Source organism: Homo sapiens, chromosome 1, assembly GCF_000001405.40.
Source record: "Homo sapiens chromosome 1, GRCh38.p14 Primary Assembly".
In the NCBI taxonomy this organism is placed as follows: domain Eukaryota; kingdom Metazoa; phylum Chordata; class Mammalia; order Primates; family Hominidae; genus Homo; species Homo sapiens.
Window position 1 is genome coordinate 2,474,372 of NC_000001.11, and position 15,164 is coordinate 2,489,535.

The window sequence follows — 15,164 nt, forward strand, 5'->3', positions numbered from 1 at the left end:
CCCGGCAGAGGCCTGTGTCAGGAAGGGATTAGCCAGGCCTCCACCCGCCTGGACAGTTGAGGATTCCAGCTCTGCTGCTGAGGAGGTCAGGGGGCCTGGGGTGCAGGAGCCTGGGACCCACGTTGTGGGGCTGGGGCCAGGCACTCTATGTGTGGCTCCTCTCAGAACCCCTGCCCAGGCAGATGGCGGCCTCCAAGCCCTAACCCCAGCTGATGGGGGATCAGCTAGTGGCTGAGAGCTCAAGGGAGGGAGGGAGGGAGCAGAGGCCCAGCCTTGGGGAGCTTCAAGGAGGGATGGGTGAGAGACGGGAGCACCCCCAGCTGGGGCCAGGCCCAGGGTGAGGGAACAGCAGGTGTGTCCCAGGCCAGGAGGCCTCTGAGGTGCAGGAAGGAGAACTGGACCCCCTGGGTCAGAGTGGAAGCCCGCAGCAGCCCAGTATGAGGTGGGCAGGGGCCCTGGGCCAGGGCTATGGCCGTCTGGTCTGTCTCCAGGCCCTCAGGCCACCTCCTGGCCCCTGCGCTGCCCCTTACACGGTGGCCTTCCCCGAGGCCCTGTCTTCCTGAGGACGCCCGGGACTCCAGCCCCTCTCCTCTCCCTGCAGCTCATGGCTCCCTAATCTAATTCCACGGCAGAGCCCAGAAACGCCTGCTGACCTGCTTCCGCCGAGAGCAGCAGAGCCTGTGACGGGGCCCCTGGTGGGGGCCTGGGTTGGCTCTGTGCTGACTGCATCTGATCTGGCTGGGTGTGGCCCTGGTTGTCAGTGGTCAGCTGGAGACGCATGGCCATCTCCTCAGGGACTGCCACCTCCCACGCCTGACCTTGGCCCCGGGGCTCTGCCAGGATGCCCAGCCCTGGCACCTCCCTGTCCTGGGCTCTGCAGGCCAAACTCCTCCCCTGGTATGGGGGGAGGCGAGCAGCTGCCCGGAACCTTCCAGTCCTTGTTGCTGGAGCCAGTAGAGCCTGGGCAGTGGGTGGGAAGAAGGGCGGGGTTCTCCCCAGTGTGGTCACGAAGCATGGGCATGGCCAGGACACAGGTGGCTGGTGTTCAGCCGGGGTCTGCCCACCTCCCATTCCCACAGCTGCCCCTGGTGTCCCGGCCTGGACTTGGGGATGGGAGAGCCTGTGCTGTCCTGTAGTGCGGGGCCAGTACACAGGGTGGGCTGTGTGGTCCTGGTGGCAGTGGGACCTGGAGTCCTTTCCTCAGTGGGAGCTGAGACGGTGGGGTGGGTCCTCCTTGGGCGAGGCCCCTGTCCAGGTCAGATGGCTGTCATCCCTGCAGGGCAGAATGTGGGGACAAACGTGCCCTGGGCATGGGGCCACCTCCTCCGCCACAGCTCGGTGACCGTGGAGAAAGGTCAGGCTGGGGCTGCAGCTGCATGAGGGAGACATGGAGAGCCCAACCCAGGCTCAGGGACCCACATCCTGGGCCTGGGCTGGGAGTTGTCGCTGTAAGGGATCCGGCTCGGCTCCCCTCTCCAGCCACAGGGGCTGGGCGCTGCGGGGATGAGGTGAGCTTCTGCCCCTGCTCTGGGCCACCTGCCTCTGGACTTTGGGGATCCACTCAGAGGTCCTCATAAGTAGGGATGCGGGGTGAGGGCAGGGACCACTCCAGGCCCAGCCTCGGCATCTGTGGTGGGCGCACAGCGGGGAGGCCCACCCCACACAGGGTCCTCGGAGGACAGTACCCTGCAGGCCTTCCGGTTGCGTTCTCTGGGTCCCAGGAGGGCCCTCCCGTTGGTCCTGCTCTTGTCCCGCAGCCCTGACCTGGGTCTGGTGGCCTGGGGCCTTGGGAAACTCTGTTGCCTCCCCAGTGCCCTCCCATCCCCAGCTGGGAGTTCCCTCGGCCTAAATCCTCCACCAGCTGGGCTGGAGCTGGGATTAGCACAGGGATTGGGCCTGGGGCTGGGCGGGGCTGAGGTCCTTTGCTCCCCCAGCCTTGGGAGGCGGCTGCGTCAGGGATTCCTTGGTGGCCCTGGAGGGTGGATAGGCTGGCCTGGGGGCCATCAGGACAGCAGGTGACGGTCAGGCCAATGCCAGCCGGGCCTGGGCACAGCCCTGTGGGGGCTTCGGAGGGCCCTGAGGAGGAGGAGGAAGAGGCAGAGGAGAGAAGGCCCCACGGAGGTCCTGTCGCCAGCGCTGCCACTGCCTGACCTCCGCTGCCCGAAGGCCGGTGGGCCTCTGTGGCCTCCGTGAAGCAGGCCCGGCTGTCGTCAGGCCATGTCTGGTCCATGGCCCTCCCCCGACAGCCGGACCAAGGGAACGGTGGCCTGGCTGGCGGAGGTACTCCTCTGGGTTGGAGGGAGTGTGGTGCTGTCTTCAGAGTGGCAGCTCGGCCCCCTGGGTAAGAAGGGGCAGGCGAGTGGCCTGGGCTGAGTGCTGGCCCTGGCCAGGTGACTGGTGGGTGGGGGCTGTTCCTGGAGGTGGGGGAAGCCTGGGCCTCCATCCCATCCTGCACTCGCCTCCCCTGTCCCCCGGGTGCTCTAGGGATCATGTGGGTCCAGCAGCGTCGGCTGGCCCTGCCCCTCAGCCGCTCAGAGGCGTGCTCAGCACACCTCGGTCTCCCAGGCACCTGCAGGGCCTGGGGGCTGAACCCAAGGGGGCGAGGGGGGATCTCAGGTGGCTCCAATGCTCTCATTGAAGGGGTGCCTTGTGCTCTGGGGGTCAGTGGTGCTTGCAGCCCAGGCGGCTGGGCTGGCATCCTGGTGCCGGACATGAGGGCCTTTGCCGTTAGGAGACTCTGCAGAGGAGACTGGCTGGGTATGGCTGGGAGGGTGGAGTGTGTGTCTTGTGGTGGCCTGTGGAGGGCCCCGGTCCGGGCTGGCCTGCCAGCTCTCTGTTCCAGCGGCAGACAGGGTCCTGTCCAGGCTGCCCTGTTGCAGGCCTCTGCCCGCCCCCTGCCCCTGTGTCCTGCCTCACCCCTCTCCTAAATCCCTGCAGCCATACCTGCGTCTTCACCTCCCATGTGCCCCGGAGAGCCCAGCCCCCCATGCCATGGCTTCCATCCCTTCAATTCCCCTCTGCTCGTGATCACGTAGTAGCTTCCCCAAGAAGGCCCGGCCAGTACTGCCCTTGGTCCTCTACAACGCCCCCGCCAGGGTCCCTCAGCGTGCAGACCTGGGGTGGGGATTAACGTCTCTGTGCTTTAGCAGATGGTACCTCTGGGACCCGGGCTTTCTGTGAGCAGGTGTGCAGGAACCGAGGGGGTGAGACCAGTCTGTTCCTGGGCTGGGACAGCTGACTCTGGCCTGGACTCCCTGGACCCTGCAGCCCCCTCTCCTGGGACAAGCTACAGCAGGAGGCTGAATGGAGAGAGGAGGGGAGAGAAGGAGCGAGGCAGGCAGCCTGGGGGAGGGGAGGGGAGGGGTTGTGAAGCTCGGATCCGGCACCACAGCCTCCCAAGTCCATACTGCAGTGCAGGGCGTGCGACGCAGACATTCATGGCACCATTCGTGGCGCTTGTTGCACATGAGGGGTGGGGGCTTTCCTGGAGATGCCCCAGGCAGGGGCACAGGCACTCAGGAATTCGACCGCTCCCAGGAGCCACCTGTGGCCAGGGGCGGGGGCAGGGGCATGGGGTTGCTGCCTGCTAGGCCCACCCCGCCCCTGACAAGGGGCCTCCACTGCACTATGGCCCCAGACAGCCAGCCCAGCCACCTCATCTGTCTTGCCTCGTGCCCGGCCTTCCCATTGTTGAGTTCTGTGCTGGCTCCGTCTGAGTGGTAGCTCTCGGGGCCCCAGGCCCAGCGCCGGTTACCAGGGCTGCTAGGACTGGTCCAGGAGGTGGTGGGAGTGGCAGGTGGCCGAGCAGGGTGGGGAGCAGGGCCCTCAGTTCCCAGGACCATCTGGGGAGGAGTGGCAGGGCCCAGCTGAGCTGTGTGACCCAGGCAAGCCGGCACCTGGGGTGGAGGTGGCCCTGGGCTCTGGCCTTTGCCCTGTCACTGGCAGGGCGGTGTGGGCGGGGCCGGGCGAGGTGAGGAGTGGCCGTGCCTCCGCTGACGGCCGTGTTTCTCCCGTGAGGAGTGGCCGTGCCTCCGCTGACGGCCGTGTCTCTCCTGCGAGGAGTGGCTGTGCCTCCGCTGACAGCCGTGTCTCTCCCGTGTCCAGTGGAGCGGTGCATGGGTGCCATGCAAGAGGGGATGCAGATGGTGAAGCTGCGTGGCGGCTCCAAGGGCCTGGTCCGCTTCTACTACCTGGACGAGCACCGCTCCTGCATCCGCTGGAGGCCCTCACGCAAGAACGAGAAGGCCAAGAGTGAGTGGGAGCCCTGGGGTGGGGACAAATCAGAGTCCCTGGGGGGACACGACGGTAGGGACCCTCCCAGGGCAGCCACTGATGGCTGAGGAGCAGCGAGACCCTAGGCCTGGACACCTCTGGGCTCAGTGGCCTTGGGGATCTGCAGTGACCTCGGGCTGTGGGGTAGGAGGGATCCAGGCCCCCTGCCCGCCTGGCAGAGCTCCCTGGGACTCAGTGAGGACCGAGTAGCACTGTGCCCAGCCCTGTGCTGAGTGCTGGGCTGGAAGGAGGGGCACAGCATAGTCCATCTAGCTGGGGAGGTCACAGCTCCCCATAAACAGAAACGACCCCCACAGAGGTATGCTGATGGATGGGTATGGGTGCAAACAGTGGCTCAGGCAGCCACTGGGCATGGCTGCTGGAGGGAGCAGGGGCCACCCGAGATGGAGGCTCTGTGCAGGGGGTGGGTGGGGAGAGTTGAGGCACACAGGGAACGGGTAGGGTCCCACGGTTTGGGGAGAGACATGGCAGTCCTCAAGGGCTGGGATCAGGGCGCAGCCAGGGTTTCTGATGGCTTTGCTGATGGTCAGGACCCAGGCATGCCAGGCAAGGCCTCAGCCCAGCAGTTGCCAAGCGTGTAGCCACTTTGGGCCCGTGGAGAGAGTCGCGCTGCGGAGCCCCCAGGGGGACCTGAGGTCACAAGAGCCTCGATGCACCTGAGCGCGGAGCTGGGGGTCCCTGGAGCCGCTGTCCCCACCTGCGGCGCTGGAGCCCTGGAGGTGTCCAGGGGCTTCCTTGGAACGTGGAGACGTGCTGGTTAAACGTGGAGCCCCGGGCCAGCCGGGCACTGGGGGCTGCAGGTGGAGGGAGGTGGATGCTCTCCCTCGTGGGGGCGTGTCTTTTCCACAGGAAAGGGAAAGGGGGAGGGACACGGGTCAGCAGTGGGGGGCTGTGCAGTCTCGCAGATCTTCACCCTTGGTTCTTGAACTCTGGACCCTGAGCCCTGCCGAGGGTCCCGCAAAGGTGGGCAAGGAGCTCCCGGCTGCTTGGTCTCCGCAGTGTTGGGGCTGCCAGCAGGGGGACGCTGGGCCCCCGGGGACCTGACCCGTGCTCCCTCCCCACCCCGCAGTCTCCATCGACTCCATCCAGGAGGTGAGTGAGGGGCGGCAGTCGGAGGTCTTCCAGCGCTACCCTGACGGCAGCTTCGACCCCAACTGCTGCTTCAGCATCTACCACGGCAGCCACCGCGAGTCGCTGGACCTGGTCTCCACCAGCAGCGAGGTGGCGCGCACCTGGGTCACTGGCCTGCGCTACCTCATGGCCGGCATCAGCGACGAGGACAGCCTGGCTCGCCGCCAGCGCACCAGGGACCAATATCCTTGGGCACCTATCGGGCAATGCAGACCCAGGGACCGGCCCCTTGGCTGCTCACCCTGGGGGGGCCTGTCCTTTGCCGGGTCACACACTGGGGAAGTGGCCGGTAGGCTGGGGTCCCCTATTCCTTCCTCCCTAGGCCAGAGGGTGGAGGTGTCAGGGCTGGGCCCATGGATCGCTGTTGGCCCCTAACTCGGCACCAAAGTGGCTGAAGCAGACGTTTGACGAGGCCGACAAGAACGGGGATGGCAGCCTGAGCATTGGCGAGGTCCTGCAGCTGCTGCACAAGCTCAACGTGAACCTGCCCCGGCAGAGGGTGAAGCAGATGTTCAGGGTGAGCTGGGGGGAGCCCTACCTGGGCTCCAGAGCCAGGGCTGCACGGGGGCTGTGCTTGTGTGGCTGGGAGCCTGCCAGCCCTGACTGAGCTGGAGGGGACCCTGGCAGTGCCCTCAAGCTGCACAGAGTAGCTGGCTGCTGAGGATGGGGCTGTCTGACCAGCCACCCCACAGCCTATGGCAGGCAGGCAGGTGGGTGCCCAGGTGCTGCCTCTTTGCAGCTGGGCCGGGGGCTGCTCTGCCAGCTCTGGGGAAAGTGGTCGGGGCACCTGGCACAGGCCCTGCCAGGTGAGTGGACTGGGCATTCAGGGCAGGTGCCCAAATGAAGCTGCACCCCCTTCCCAGGCCCCAGCCCCGCAGCCTCGAGGGGGGTACACCAGCCCTGGCAGGGCCCAGTCTGATGCGCAGCAGCTCGTTACTTTCCCCATGCCGCCCTCGCCCAACCACCCTGATGTTAGGAGTTATGAAAATGCAGCCTTCAGCTGAGCTGCGGCCTTTATTGTCTGTAATTGGTTTCTGTTTCCGGAAAGCCTGCTGGGCCGGGGGAGAGAAACTCTGCCCGTCAGCAGGTCCTGGTTCCGGGTGGTGCTGGCTGAGCCAGCAAACCAGGCCCTGGGGCCTTGCTGCTTTGCTGCAGCTTGGAAAGCGGGTTCTGTGGGTGCAAGTGCCAGGCCCTGGGGTCTCTGACACGCACATACACGCACACACACGCACACGCATGCACGTGCATAAATACACGCACACACGTGCACATACACATATGCACACAGGCACACACATGCACACACACACGCATACACATGCTCACAGCCTGACAGCTCCGCCGTGTCCAGCCCCTGCCAGCTCCTGCCAGCTCCTGCCAGCTGCTGCCTGTTCTCACTGTAGGTGGCTGGTCATGCCTGGCTGGAGCAAGGGAAGCTGGCCTGCTCACAGGACAGGGTGTGTGCGTGAGTTAGGGGCTGGGTGCTTGCAGACACTCTGGGGACTGCCCGGGGCTTGTGAAGGCCCCAGTGGGGACACAGTCTGCCTGGGCTGTGGGGGCTGGCAGGTGGCTGAGTCTGCATGTCTGCGCCCCTTCTCCCTGCCTGCCTGGGGCCATCCCCAGCCACATTTTGGGCTCAGGGGCAGCTCTGGGGCCAGCAGGTCCCTCCACAGAGTTGAGGCTGTGCCAGGGCCCGGGCAGCAGGGTGGCTTAGGGTGCAGGCTCCAGAGTGGCCTCTGAGTGGGAGGAGACAGATGCCCCTCACTGAATCCAGCACGAGTGTGCGTGGTTTCTGGGGCCTGAAGGTCCAACCAGACCTCCCTAAGGGAACCCCAGGCAGGCGGAAGCAGGGACAGTCTGCAGGGCTGGCTCTGGAGAGGAATGGCGAGGTAGCTGTTGCTGTCAGGTTACCGGCCTGGCACTCCAGCCCTATGTAGTGGAGGCCCAGTGGCCCTGGTCTTTGGTGGTCAAGACAGCTGGAGACGGCCCCAGTTTCAGAGCGCTGGGCCTCCCCGCCCATCTGTACTGCATCCTCTCTGGGCCCTGCAGAGCCGAGAGAAGGAGCCTGCAGCCAGGCTGGAGGGGCTCTGAGAAGTGGCATCAGCTTCGCTGTAGAGAAATCTGGAGATGGCTCCCATTGCCTGGCACGGCCTAATCAGAGAGAACTGCATGGTGGATAAACACTTGGCTTGAGGCTAATTTCATCAAACCTAAGATAAGGCTGGAAGTGGGCTGGACCCAGTGGGGCCTAATTGCCAGAGTGCGCTGGGCGGGCACCGAGGCAGGCTCAGCCAAAGTGCACGTTCAACAGCAGTGGCTTCCCTTTGTGGAAAGAAAAGATGCCACGTGACTGTGTCAGGGGTGTTCTAGGGTGGGGCTCAGGCCCCGAGGGCCTCACTGTCCGAGCATTTTTGTTCCTGCTCAGTGGTGAGTGGCTCACCCTGGCACATAGCCACTCTGTGGAGGGGGCCGCATCTCTGCCCAGCTCAGCCACAGGCCCTGGGAGGGCCTCTGGCCTGGGCTTTGTCCCATGGCCCCTGGGAGGGCCATCAGCCCAGGCTCTGTCCCATGGGGGCCCTTTGAGCTGCAGTGTGTCCCCTCATGGCTGTCCTGGGTGCAGTGAGTGGGCACCCCCAGACTTGGGGCTACCCTCACACCTCGCACCAGGCACCCCAGGGCTTCATCTGGTGTGTGCTGGGCCCAGTGCATGTGGCTTTAGCTGGGCCCTTCATGCCACGCTGGCCTCATCCCAGCCTTGGTGTGGGCACACAGCCTGTCCCTGGGGTCCTGACCCACCTTCATGCCAAGCCGTGGGTGTAGGGCGTGTGGCAGCCAGGGCTCTGCCCTGGGGACAGGGACAAAGGGGCTGATGGGGCCACCTGACTGGTGACTCCCCTGGCTCAGAGGGGATCCCAGGGGAGCTGGCACCACCACCCCTGGCCACCCCAGATCGTGGCCACGGGAGGAGGCAAGGCTGGTCCCCAGTGGCAGGCTGGTGGCTGCTGCTGTCCATGGTGCCGAGCCGGCCCTGGTTCCTGCTCAGCTGAGGCACATCTGCAGGCCGAGGCGGGGCCCTGGGTACTCTCCTGTGGACCAGGACATTAAGCTGTCCTGAGAGGCATGGCCAGCGTGCAGGTGGCCCTTTGTAGCCTGCTTCCTCGACCCCACTCTGGGCTCCTCGCAGGCCCCCTTGGAGCCCCTGGGTGGGCTGCTGAGAGCACGCCGTCCTCAGCCTGTGTGGGCTCTGGGAAGAGGACCCAGCGGGGCTTGTCTGGAAGCCCAAATCACGAAGCCTCTAGACTACTGCTGTGGTGGATGCAGCACCTCCTCGACTTTTGGAGGTATTTCCTGCTTCTCAGGGCACCCAGTCTGGGGCTTCCGTGGAGGCCTGAGGACTCAGCCAGTGTAGGCGGACACCTGCTGGCTGGGTGTCGGTGTGGCCAGGCCTGGGGTGAGCAGGCGCAGGGCGGAACCCTGCCTTCAAGGCATATCTGATCAGCCCGTCCCATCTCTGGCCACATCCTCAGTGGGGGGCCAGGGCCGAAGTGACAGCAGGCGGCTCACTGGGAGCGTAGGACCCCTCAAGATGCTGAGCAGCTGGGCAGGTGTGAAACGAGCTGTCAGGGCTGCCCCTGCCTGAAATGTTGAACTCTGGAACTCTTTGAAGAGCAGGGCTAGGCACTGCGTCCCTTTGGGCCTGGTGTTCCTCGTGAGTAGGGGCTGAGCTGGGGTGTCACACTGGGGCCATGTCACCTCCAAGCAGGTCATGCTCTCACCCTGCCCTGCCCAGCCCTGGGCTCCCATACCCTTGTGAGGCAAAGTCCTCAATCCTTAGGGCTCAAGGATTTCAAGCATCCCCTTCCATGGGGACTTTATTGCTGCCATGGGATTCCCATGGCCCCTGTAGCACCTTGGGTTTCTGCTGGGATGCCCAGCCTCCAGCCCAGAGTGTGTTGTTGACCCCCGTTTGGGGGGGCGCTGACCCCCGTTTGGGGGGGCGCTGACCCCCGTGTGGGGGTGGCGCTGACCCCCGTGTGGGGGTGGCGCTGACCCCCGTGTGGGGTGGCGCTGACCCCCGTGTGGGTGGCGCTGACTCCCGTGTGGGGGGGCGCTGACTCCCGTGTGGGGGGGCGCTGACTCCCGTGTGGGTGGCGCTGACTCCCGTGTGGGGGGGCGCTGACTCCCGTGTGGGGGGGCGCTGACTCCCGTGTGGGGGGGCGCTGACTCCCGTGTGGGTGGCGCTGACTCCCGTGTGGGTGGCGTTGGCTCCCGTGTGGGGGGTGTTGACTGCTGTGTGGGGGAGGTGTTGACTCCTGCGTGGGTGTTGTTGACTCCCGTATGGGTGATGTTGGCTTCCGTGTGGGTAGTGTTAACTGCTGTGTGGGGTGAGTATATGGAGGTGGCTGTGGGTTGAAGGTGAAAAGCATATGGCTTCAGGCAGGTGCGTCAGTTCTGCATTTTCATGGGGCTGTCCTCCTGGTGGGTGGGCCCGTGCCCTGGGGAGTGATTGGAGGCCGTGACAAGGGCAGTGGAGTAGAGGAGGGTGGGCTTGCATGTTGGTCTTGACTGGGGAGTGGGGTGGTCCTGAAGGACCCCTGTGCATGCAGGCCCTGGTCGAGGTGCCAATGGGGACCCAAGGCCTTGCATTGCAGGAAGCGGACACGGATGACCACCAAGGGACGCTGGGTTTTGAAGAGTTCTGTGCCTTCTACAAGATGATGTCCACCCGCCGGGACCTCTACCTGCTCATGCTGACCTACAGCAACCACAAGGACCACCTGGATGCCGCCAGCCTGCAGCGCTTCCTGCAGGTGGAGCAGAAGGTGTGCTGCCCGGGGCAGGTGTTGGGGGGCCAGCCATCAGGCCTCGCCTTCTGTTCTGAGCTTTGAGCTTCAGTCAGGGGACAGTGGTGATGGGGGAGCTGTCTGAAGCTATCCCAGGCCAGGGATGGGCTACCTGGGCTCATGCCCCTGCTCTGAGATGGAGAGATTAGGGTGGGGCAGGTCACAGCCTGGCATTTGAGAGCCCCCCAAGTTGGCTTTAGTTTTGATATTACAGGGTGCGCTCTATGGGGCAGCCAAGCAGGTAGGGAAAGTTTGTGGTTTCTCCTCCAGGGGCCCCTGAATGGCTTGGTCCTGACTGTGAACACCCTGCGCCTCCCACAGCTTGACCATGCCTCCTGCCTTGGTGTTGAGCATCTTGTGGACTAGGGTTCTGTGGCCCAGCCTTTGAGACCTGCCCCTGTGTTCCAGCCACATGGGTCTGGCTGACTCGCTCCCCTAGGGTGCCAGGCCCGCCACAATATCCACTCACCTGTTTGTCCAGCAGACACTCAGATGCCTCCTGGAATCCAGAGGGGCATGCTCAGCCCTTTATCTAGACCCCAAGAAATCCTGGCCATCCTTAGAGACCAATGCCAAGGCCAAGTGCTGCCCCACTGACCAAGGACCTCATTTCCAGAGGTTCAGGGCTCTGGCCATCTTGTATCAGGCCTGGGCAGGGACTGGGTACCGCATGCCCTGGTGGCAGGAGTTGCAGGTCCAGCCAGGCAGCGGAGGGGAAGGCCGGAGCCCCAGTGGGGACAGGGATCCATGGGAGGGGCTCAGACTGTGTGTGGCCACCCTCCAGCCTCGTAGGAGTGCAGGTGAGGACCCTGGACCCTCCTCAGGGAGGAGAGCAGGGACAGGGCAAGCCTTAGGGGACCAAGATGCCTCGGCCTGGGGGTGCTGCTTAGGGACCTCCACTCTACTTGCCTCAGCCTGGGGGTGCTGCTTAGGGACCTCCACTCTACTGGCCTCAGCCTGGGGGTGCTGCTTAGGGACCTCCACTCTACTGGCCTCAGCCTGGGGGTGCTGCTTAGGGACCTCCACTCTACTGGCCTCGGCCTGGGGGTGCTGCTTAGGGACCTCCACTCTACTGGCCACCTGCGCTGCGTCAGCCTCTCGGTGATGGTCTGAGGGCGAGGATGGGAGTGGCAGGAGGAGCCTTGGGAATCCCAGGTAGGGTCTGGGTGGGTTTTACCCAGGATCTCCCAGCAGTACCCCACCCCCAAGCTTACCACAAACCCAGAGCTGGCCTTTGGGGCTGTCCCTGGGCCTGAGCTCCCGGGATGCCCCCACCTGGCCGGGGCAGCTTGCCAGGCTCCATCCCGTGGCAGCCGCTTCTCCAGTCCTGCAGGCATGACACCCGGGACGCATGGCCCAGGCAGGGGAAGCTAGCACCAGTTGGCTAGACCCCACTGTCTCGGATGCCCTGTGCCCTGGCCACCAGGGGCGGCACCAGCATGTGTCTGTGGGTGACCTGGCTGCAGATAGTAGGTCCTCTGTCCCAGTAAAGGCAGAGGTGGGAATGGGGCCTGGATAGGGGATTGGCAGGCAGAAGTGACCCTTCCCTCCCTGACCTTTGCCCCAAGCCTTGTGGAACCCTCTGTGCACTCAGGAGCCAGAGTCCTCCAGCCGGCAACTGGTGCCCTTTGCCTGGCCTCCTGGTTGCTGGGCCTCCCCAGGGGCCCACAACTGGCTCTGGGCTCCCCCACCTGTTACCTCACCATGTTCCCAGGGACCTCCAAGAAGCCGTGTCAGTGGGCTGGGCAGCTCCTGGCCCAGCTGCACCATAGCGCCCTGGAGGTCCCTTGGCCTGTGATGCCTGGGGTGGCCTGGGCTGGGCCGGACTGTGGTGCTCAGATCTCTTGGGAGGGTTAGTGTGTGACGGCTTGGGCAGACAGTGGGAGGGGCTGGATGAGGGGGCTGCCTGTGCCTGCCTGGCTCTGCCAAGGGGGCATGAAGATTCTTGCTCTCCTGTACCCACCCACACATGGCCTCTGCTCCGTGCCAGGCCCACTCTGGGCCACAGGTCTCGCACTGGTGTGGGGTGGTCCAGCTGATGAGGTCAGAGGCCCCTCCCGTGCCGTCAGAGTTCATAGTCAGAGCAAGCCATCCAAAAGCCACGTGATCCACGGTAGTCCCAAGTCATGTGACACTGGAGCTGGCTGGCCATGGTCATCCCTGGTGTAATCAGAGACAGGCAGGGGACAGTGGTGATGGGGGAGCTGCCTGAGGCTATCCCAGGCCAGGGATGGGCTGCCTGGACTCATGCCCCTGCTCTGGCCTAGATGGCGGGTGTGACCCTCGAGAGCTGCCAGGACATCATCGAGCAGTTTGAGCCATGCCCAGAAAACAAGAGTAAGGGGCTGCTGGGCATTGATGGTGAGTGGGGCGCTGCCCTCAGCCCAGCTGTCCTGGGATGCTGGAGGGGCAACGAGGGCCCAACCTGTGGGCCGGGACAGGTGTTCTGTGTTCTGTGTGGCATGGGGGCAGGTGGTCATGAGACGAGGCTGGTGGTGGGCTGACATGGCCCCTATGCCACGCCGTCCTGCAGGCTTCACCAACTACACCAGGAGCCCTGCTGGTGACATCTTCAACCCTGAGCACCACCATGTGCACCAGGACATGACGCAGCCGCTGAGCCACTACTTCATCACCTCGTCCCACAACACCTACCTCGTGGGTGACCAGCTCATGTCCCAGTCACGGGTGGACATGTATGCTTGGGTCCTGCAGGCTGGCTGCCGCTGCGTGGAGGGTAAGCCCTGGACCTTGGGTGACGGCCGTGGGCTGGCATCTGCTGTGGGAGATGGGCTGCACCTGAGGAGCCCCCGGGGGGATCTCTGGGCAGGGGCTGGGAAGGCCTCTTCTGTGTCCCTCACTGAGCAATGGGACAGGCCCTCTTTTGGTCGAAGCTCAGCCTGCCTGGGCTCACTGTGGCTAGGCCCCTGGGGCTGACCAAGGCCTGCCCGCCTGCAGTGGACTGCTGGGATGGGCCCGACGGGGAGCCCATTGTGCACCATGGCTACACTCTGACTTCCAAGATCCTCTTCAAAGACGTCATTGAAACCATCAACAAATATGCCTTCATCAAGAATGAGTGAGTGGCTGGGCCTAGCGGGGCTGGCCCCAGAGGTGGGCAGGGTAGGGTCTCCAGGCTCTAGCTCTTCCTGCCACACCCACATGTCCTTTCTTTGGGAGCAGTGACTGTGGTGACCAGGGGGCTGGTTTCATTCTGGCATCTCTGGTTGAGGAGAGAGGGGCAGGGAGAGAGTATGGCCGCAGGTCTAGGCAGGGGCTTCACAGGAGCAGCTCGTCCACACGCCTGGTGGCACCTCCCGGTGTCAGTGCCCACAGCAGCTGTGGCTCCCACACTCATCACCCCTGAGAAGCCACTCTGTGTCCAGACTCAATTGGCTGTCACTCAGCTGTGGCTGTAGACACTATTGAAGAAAATACAGAAATTAGTTTCTGGAATTAGAAGACCGCCTCCCCGTGTGGTTTGAATTACCTTCAAGTCTTGGCTACATGAGGCTCGCAGGTGGGCAAGGAGCTAATTGCATGAAGGAAGAGAGAAGAAGCAAGATTGATTTAGGAAACAGAAGTAGATGGGCCTCTCCTGGAAGAGCTGGTCCTTGCTGTCACAGTCTCGAGCTGGCCCCATCCCTGGGACTGTAGGTGGGAAGGGCATTGCAAGGCACAGGGGCGGGGATGGGGGGAGGAGAGATGAGCTGGGAGGAGCCAGGGGCCTGCTGGGATCTCAGGACAGAGTTGCACCTATGACCAGTGTAATCTGTGCAGGCACAATGTTCTCCTGCAGGCCCTGGGCTTCAGGCCTCAGTTTCTTGCCTGAGAAGTGGGGGAATGAGCCCCTGCGCCCTGCCTGCCCACTCCACATCACAGGACTTGCTCATCTCTTGCCCTGGTTCATGCCCTCTTGCTCTGGGTCACTTACATTTTCTGAAAGAATCATGGCTGCCTTTTGGTAAAAATCCAAGTAAAACATACACATGGTTAAAAATGAAGCTGAAAAGCTTATAATTAAAAGTCCCTGCTATACTCCCCATTCTGCACTGTGCAGGTAATAACCATGTTCCACCAGATGGTGTGTGCCAGGCTTATGTCTCCTTCTTTATGGGACCAATGTCAGGACCCCAGGGCCATTCAGAGGACAGGGTCCCCAGTATCTAGGTCAAAAGGATTCTATTTCCCAGCCTATCTATAGCTCCACACTGTACCTTGGTTTTGTCCACATCATTTTAAAACCATGACTTTTTCAAACGTTCCTTTTGTTTTCCTGGAGTTTCTCATTGCCTTTGTTTTTTTTCTTATTGGGGAAAGCAGCTCATGCTCTCTTTACCAGTCCCTAAGATTCTCCCAGCTCCTTTCCCATCCACTCTGTTGCTTTTCAAAGCCATTGACGGGTGGGCCACCTCCCAGAGCTGCTGGTAATCCCAGCTATCCTGGGTTCCTGGTGAAGACCCCTCCTCATTCAATGGTTTAGATGACCTGGGATCTTGCAGAGGTGGGGCTTACCCATCCTCTGAGGCCCTGGCCTCATCCTGCTCTTTCTGCCTTGGGGCCACAGGTACCCAGTGATCCTGTCCATCGAAAACCACTGCAGTGTCATCCAGCAGAAGAAAATGGCCCAGTATCTGACTGACATCCTTGGGGACAAGCTGGACCTGTCATCAGTGAGCAGTGAAGATGCCACCACACTCCCCTCTCCACAGATGCTCAAGGGCAAGATCCTCGTGAAGGTGAGTGAGCCCCTGCCCTCCTGGGACCAGCTCACACAGAGTCTCGGGCCTGCAGCAGTGCCCTGCTCCAGACAGGCAGGGGCATCATGCCATCCATGGGCATATCTAGGGGGCTGAGGGCTGGCCACGCTCCTGACCTGGCCTCCATCTCCCCATG

The 15,164-nt window shown here is 63.3% G+C and overlaps 1 protein-coding gene across 12 annotated transcripts in view; it reads left to right on the forward strand.

Moving 5' to 3' along the window:
* Positions 1-15,164, forward strand: part of PLCH2 (phospholipase C eta 2) — an 89,590-nt gene that overhangs the window by 58,429 nt on the left and 15,997 nt on the right. For 10 of the 12 annotated variants that reach the window (XM_047435029.1, XM_047435028.1, XM_047435038.1 and 7 more), the window contains 8 exons: positions 4,105-4,251; positions 5,363-5,606; positions 5,812-5,941; positions 10,077-10,247; positions 12,536-12,629; positions 12,802-13,005; positions 13,227-13,347; positions 14,836-15,007. In XM_047435029.1, the coding sequence (XP_047290985.1) occupies positions 4,105-4,251; positions 5,363-5,606; positions 5,812-5,941; positions 10,077-10,247; positions 12,536-12,629; positions 12,802-13,005; positions 13,227-13,347; positions 14,836-15,007 (1,283 nt within the window). Of the gene's footprint in view, positions 1-1,917; positions 3,334-4,104; positions 4,252-5,362; positions 5,607-5,811; positions 5,942-10,076; positions 10,248-12,535; positions 12,630-12,801; positions 13,006-13,226; positions 13,348-14,835; positions 15,008-15,164 lie in introns of those variants that run through there. The other 2 variants (NM_014638.4, NM_001303013.1) reach the window with 2 other exon arrangements.